The sequence below is a fragment of the Homo sapiens genome, chromosome 12 (assembly GCF_000001405.40).
Source record: "Homo sapiens chromosome 12, GRCh38.p14 Primary Assembly".
NCBI classification, from domain to species: domain Eukaryota; kingdom Metazoa; phylum Chordata; class Mammalia; order Primates; family Hominidae; genus Homo; species Homo sapiens.
In genome coordinates this window covers 58,550,839-58,557,834 of record NC_000012.12, presented here as the reverse complement: position 1 = coordinate 58,557,834, position 6,996 = coordinate 58,550,839, and the positions used below count along the sequence as shown (strand labels likewise).

Below are 6,996 nucleotides of genomic sequence, written 5' to 3'. Positions count from 1 at the left end.
CTGCTGTTTGTCATTAAGACACTTCCGATTAAAGGTTTATTGACTCAGTGGATACTCTCTATTATATATTACTTTTTTAAAAGAGCAAAGCTAACTCATTAGTTAGAAACCAGCAAAGCATGCAAGTGCTTTGTTCAACTGACAAAAAGAGAGAGAACCAGTGGAAATTTACTGCTGGAAAGTATTATCACCAAAAGATATTCACCGAGCTGACAATTTTTGACCTTTCCCATGTTCCTTCTGAAAATATTTGTGTTAGAATCAGACCTTTCAACATACCAAATCGCATCTGATTGATTTCCCTGTGATTTTTCAAACTCTGGAAACTGAAGTACAAGTAAAATGGGCAAAGTTTCTCTGAATCTTCACCACAGACCCATAGCCACACGAAGGATCTGACTCTTTCTTTAACCCTGACCCCACCACCAACACTATTAAGACTGTACTTAAGTAATAAAACTTGTGTAACTCGTGATTCTGAAGCCCTGAAGAAGTAGAGGCAAACAATCAAGGGATGTGACTAATATCACTAACAATGCTAACAAAAATAGGCTTCATCTCTGACTGGAGGGGAATGGCTGGGTCTTCTCTCTTTCCAAGGCAGGTTAACTCAAATCCCTACTCCAACCATGCATTCTCTGTGGAGCCCCCAACCTTCCCTTGCTGCAGGAGCCTTGCTGTCTGCCATCTAAAGACCTAACATGATGCCATCCCTGGACGGCTCCTGCTTCCACAGCATCTACCCTAGATTTCTTCTCAAGACTTATTATTGCTGTTTCTGGGACTCAACTTGCCACCCCATTATCCTTCCTTCCATCAAAATGTCACTGCCCTCAATGAGTGGGAAAAATTCCCTTCTATGCTCCCAGATAGGGTGTCCTGTTTTGGAGTATGGATTTGCCCTTTTGAACCACAGGACCTTGCCAAGCAGACTATCTGAAGGCTTATATGTATTTGTTCCTCTGACAGGGGATACTGCAGGACATCCCTTCGGAACAAAGGACCCACTTTACAGCAGCTGCAGGCCTGATAGAGCAACGGAGCAGCCTTGGGGAGGCACTGCTGAGGCACCACCTTGGAGATGATGCTCAGTGAGAAGGGTGAGCATCTTCCAGGATGTAGTACCTACCTTAAAACAATCACCGTTATATGGTTTTGTAGTCCCATAGGTCCAGGAAGCATGGCCGGGAGGTAGTAGAGAGCCCTCATACAATTATTCTAGGTGATATGCCTGAAAAATTTGTACTTTCAAACACTGCAGCTTTAGGCTGTGTGCATCTAGAAGTACTGGTTCCCAGAATGGGAATGATTCTATCAGGAGACTTGGGTAGAGCCCTATTTAACATTAAGCTGCAGCTGTCACACAGTTTCTTTGAGTCTTCAGTGCCAAGAGACCAGTAGGCAAGGAAAAGGGTCATTAAATGGGCAAGAGTAACTAACCGATTATAAGGAGGAGGCACAGGACTGCTTTTATACAATGAGGACAAGGAATAATATGATTGGAACCCAAATAATCCACTGGGCATTTCTTGGTACTTACCTACCCAATTTCAATGGAAAACAGAGATGTATATAGCACCCATAGCCTGAGAAAGCTATGAGAACCAAGGGCTCAGAGCCCTGAAGGATGAGGATATGGGTCATCCTGCCAAGTAAGCCACGTTAAATTGCAGTAGTATTAACCACGGACAAGGAGAATCTAAAATAAGTACTAGAGGAAGAAGAAGAGTATCAGTAGTGAGTTTCAGAAGCTACTGTGGCAAGAGGCTGAGTTGGTCCCACAAACCTTCCTCCTTTAACTTTCATAGGGAAACAAAAACAATCAGAATTTGGGGGAAGTAGTTGTTTTCAGATGTGGGGATCTTAGTATATAAAACCAATGGATCCAAATAACAAACTGTGGCAGATGGTGTGATGTCCCATCTAGACCCCTTCCTTTAAGACTGAAGCACTCATTCCCCTAGCTTCTGAGAATGCATGCTGATGACAGATTTAGGAATTGCCCTCATCTAAATTAAGCTGCCCCTCTTCAGGGTCAGCTGATATCCAAAGACTAATGAAGAGAGGTTTCGAAGGGCCAGCACCCTTGCCTTGACATGGCAGAACTCTGAGAGGTCATCCTACCACCAGCTCTCCTTGGGAGATGCTGAGGCCTCAGTCGCATCACCTCAATTCAACTTGTTCCTCTGCTCAGCCATGCTTTCCTCTCTCCTTTACAAATGCTGCTCAGCACTACTCAACGAATCTTCTGCACACAAATCACGGAATATATTCCCAGCAGAATTGAACCTAAAACAACCTCATAGGCCTTGGTTTCTGCAAGTATAAAACTCATATAGCAACACCTACTTTACAAGGTTGCTAGGAAGAGTAAATGAAAGACCACATGTAAAACATTTAGCATAATGAGCAGTGCATGCAATGTTCAATAAGTGCTCATTCTAGTGGGTCCTGTTACGAGTTAATTCTTGGTTTGCATGTCAATAGTGACATCACTATCAAAAGAATCTAAAGCCTATGCTTTAGTGGCTCCTAAAACTTGCAATAAGAGGGCCTTTCATATTTCCCCTACCCTGTCTCCAATTCTAGTTCATCTTCAAGCCTGAATCTCCTAGTTCCCACTTCAAACCTCAAAGATTTTGTAGTGTCCATGGCTTTTCTCCTTAAGGATGGCAAGAAAAGAGTCACCATGTCCATGAAAGAAATGAATGAAAATTATCAGACCTAGACCTGAAAGAGAAATGAGTTTCAAATTAATTCTAACTTGATTTGGAGTACCATGGAGACCGTCAAATGAGAATTTGAAGATATGTTACTGACCTCGAGAAAATGAATGCCCAATTCTGAGCATTCTGTTCCTAACCTCGAAACTATGGAGTTGTCTTTGGAAGGATATCAAGTTGAGAGTTTTCTGTTCTCAGCATGCCTCAGAACTCTAGCTGAACAACTGACTCTGCTAAAAATGAATGGGCAGCCAGCCCCTCTTCTGTGGTCAGTCTTGTGTCCAGGTGAAGGCAAGGGGAGCTGGCTGCTTAACAGGAAATCCTCATGTCTTTCAGTTAGAACTATTCCCTTCACCCTGTCCAGCCTTCTCCGCCACTCACCCACCAATCTGATATCCTCACTGTCTCCAGAGGAAACTACATTCCTGCCAGTCTTTGCTCACACCATGGCTTTCATGTGAGAAGGGCAAATGTTCTCCAGTGGACATCCTCCAGTGGAAATCCATATCCCTTGTCCCACCAACCATGAAATCAAATACAACAGCTGTTTATTTGGGCAGAGTAAGGACCCAGATCTCGTTTTTATACCATTCCTTTGCTAAAAGGAGCCAGAGGTTCTTAAAGAAATAGCTGATTCTAGAGCTTAGGGAAGGAAAGTAGAAAACAAGTCTGGAATATTTTGTTGTGTCAGAAAATGCAGAAGCACTCAAAGAAAAATGGGGGTATGTCAAAAACATATGGAATTCTGTTTTAGGGGTTCCTTCTGGTCAAATATGATAATTGAACATCAAATTGAATATTGGCTTAATGAATTCTATATCATTGAGTAAGATAAAGAGCCAAGAGTCCGTATTGATAAAGAATTGATCTTTGTCTTTTCCTGAGGTTACAAAAATATTCCACATTTTCTCCTAAAACCTTTAAACTTTTAGAAATTAATTAAATCTTCCATCCACTTCAAATTTGTTTTCTGTGTATAATATGAAGTAAAGATTGAGATTCATTTTTTTCATATGTTTATTCAGCTGTTCCAATACATTTTTTAAAAATAACTATCTTTTTCCCATTAAACTAAATTACTTTGGTCCATGGTTTAACAAATCAGTTGACTATATGCATATATGGATGTATTTCTATCCTCTCTATTCTGCTCCATTTCTTTCTTGTTCTGTCCTTATGCTGCTACTACCCTCCTGTCTTAATTGTTGTAGCTTAATAAAAAGTTCTGAAATCGATAATAGGATAAGTTTTCCAGATTGTTTGGCTCCTTCCTTTCAGAGATATTTTGCCTCAATTTCCAGCCACCCCACAGTTCTAAACTTTGCCCTCTATTTTTTCAGATCAACAAGACTGTGACTTTCTCAAAAGCTTCCTGAGGACAGGAAGAAGCACCTTCAGAGAAGGAGCCTTATGTATGTGAATTTCACCCAGTGTGGTTGCTTCTTGCAGGGTTAAATCCCCTTCAGTTCTTGCTAGCTTGTGGTCTCTCTCCATCATCTATAATGGGTTAGTTTAATACAAGCTATTTGACCATGACTGAGAGTCTTGCCTTTCCACTGGTTTTCAACACTGAATTTTGGGTCTGTGCTGACTGCTCCTATCAGCCCTACTTGGTGTTTCCTATCAGGTGGGTGAGCTAGGCACCATCCTCTGTTGTCCCTGCAGGTTTTTATTATTTCCCTATCTCTAGAAAATGTCAAGGTCTCCCCAGCTCTATCCCTAATGCACTCAACCACACCATGGCACCGTTGAGCTCCTTGCTGGCCATCTAGTTTCTGTCTACCATTATGCTTCCCTCAAGACTTATTCAGTACAATGGGGACAGAAGCAAAAGCAGTAAGTATCCATAAACATCCTGAAGAAAGTTGGAGGATCCAATGAAGGGTAGGAAGGAGGAGCAGGGATCTCAGCCACATCTGATGCAAATGGGTGGGCAGAATGGAGGTACTGGGGCCAGGGATACCAGGACTCAGAACAAAATCTTGCTTTCTAGACAAGAGCTATTTGTCAATGTCTGTTGGTATCGAAGAAAGCGTTTTTTACTCTATTGACACTGTCTCTTTTGCCCTCCCTGGGACCACTAATCCTTTAATTATTGCCAAGGGAACCAAAACTGTAATTACCCTTCTAGCAACCCTTGATTCTGTGGGTAGCTTGGACATCACAGTCATGTCAAATCTCCCTTCCCTACTATGGATTCCTTTGTCTCTTTTTCCTTCCAAGGTGGTAATTCTTATTTCTGAACCACCCCTATTATTAATCTTTTTCAATTTCTGCAAAAAGGCAAAACTATGCATTTTCTAATGAAAAGGAAACTGATCCTCTTTTGGAAATCATGCTTGTCTTTGAAAACTCTGCAGCTACTTCAGAGAGAAGGGTATGAAGAAAAAATAATCATTATAATCATCTTCAACTTCATGATTGCAGTTTAGTAAGATGTGAAGAGCTTCAGGTTATGAGACTTAGGTCAATTGTTTTGTTTATCAAAGAAAGATAAGGTAAGCCCTAAACAAATTCAGCTGCATGCTTTTGTCCCCCTGACCTTTCATTGAATGATACCACTTGTCACTTTTGCTTGCAGACTGACATTAAAAAGGATGAAAATATTGCTTTCTTAGTACAGATTCCTATTGGCACAGCTTTTGTTCAGACTACGATGCTCTGACAAATTAGCCCAGGAAAACAGGGCAGGAAAAAACTGTCTTTACTTCTGCTTGTTATTGTCTTTAATATTACCAGAACATTTATTGTTCCATATGCTCCTGGCTCTTTGCTCCTCATTAAAGAATGGGATCTGCATAGATTATTCAATGGTAAACACCTAACTAGATTGTAAACTGTCTGGGTGAGGAGCTTGTTTTAAATTCCCACAGCACTCAGCATACTTCTGGGCATGAAAATGCTCAGTAATTCTTCTTTGATTGTATAGTACACATGTTGTTCAATATTAATATTCTATATTTGACCTCTGTTTCCCTGAGTGTCAAGGATCTGTACTAATTTTTGGCTAGTTCTGTCAATAACGATTTTTTTTTCATGAGTTTTGTAAATACAGCGGGAAAACCTTTAATAACTGTGGTTAATGGGTTATTATCTTGAGCTTTTCCTGTACACAGTATCAAATTGAAGGAGATAAGGCCTTTTAGCAAACTCAAATCCTTGTAATAATACTTCACATTGTCAAAATAGCAATTTCTATTTCAGCACATTTAATGGTAAGAAACAATATTGATGAGTATGGTGTTGTTTGGGGTGGTGATTAATGCCTTCCACATGCTTAACCAGCTAGAATTTGCTAAATAATTTCTAATTTTCCTTTGCTTTCCATACTCTGCAAATTAAAATAAGGTGTTATTACTTGGGGTGGGGATGGGGGAAATCTCTTAGCCTTACTGTCTTTGCTTGTAAAGGAGGAATAGTAACACCTGCCCACCCTACCTCTCAGATTTGTCATGAGGGTCAAGTAGGATGATGCATGAGAAAATGATTTGTAAGCTGCAAAGCTTTGCACAAATTGAACTTGTTAGCATAATCTGGATTTTACATAGGTCAAAGCTTTATAAGGCAAAGATGCATTCTAAACTTGTAGGATGAACCATTTCTAAATCTTCAGCATGTACTGTGAACTATTTCTTCCAGTGCCACAGATCAATGATAATACTGCCTAGTCACTTATTTAATCTGACAGGAACCTAAACAAAAATAATTAAAAGCTGATCTACATACCACATATTCCTTATTGCTATATAGCACCTCACAAGCCAGTCAGAGATCAATTAATCAATGTTTTCCTCAATTATGGTCTGTCAGCAGATAAATCTACCAAACCAATCAAGGTTATTACAGGCCCATAGTTGTGCAGGAATGAATTTTGCAACTGCTGAGCCATTTCTCTTGAAAGGAAAGGGTGAGAAATGGTTGTTTTGCCTCATCTTTTCTGCAATAATAGGAAGTTTCCAACTCATGAAAGGGTGTTATTGACAGTCACAGTAAGACGTTTGGAATCCACATGTAAACTCTGTGATGAACATGGCCCCGCACAGAGGACCTGAGACATTTTGAGGAGGGCCTTCTACGTTTCTTCTCCCAGCACATGAGGCAAGTGAACCCCACTAGTGTAGTTCTCTGTCAGTAAGAAAGAGCACAAAGTCCTGTTTCTGAACTAACATAAAAGAATGGATAATATTGCCAGTAATCTTGGGAAGGCATGGGATTCAAAGGTGAATATTTTTGTATGTTTGTGCATTATTTGTTTTGATGTATAAGACAATAA

At 40.3% G+C, this 6,996-nt stretch overlaps 1 long non-coding RNA gene across 1 annotated transcript; it reads left to right on the top strand.

The window, feature by feature from the left end:
* The first annotated feature begins 507 nt into the window (after positions 1 to 507).
* On the top strand, positions 508 to 6,746 carry LOC105369789 (uncharacterized). Its single transcript, XR_945007.3, has 3 exons — positions 508 to 1,100; positions 4,064 to 4,135; positions 6,673 to 6,746. It is a non-coding gene; the product is annotated as an uncharacterized LOC105369789 (long non-coding RNA).
* The last annotated feature ends 250 nt before the right edge of the window (positions 6,747 to 6,996 follow it).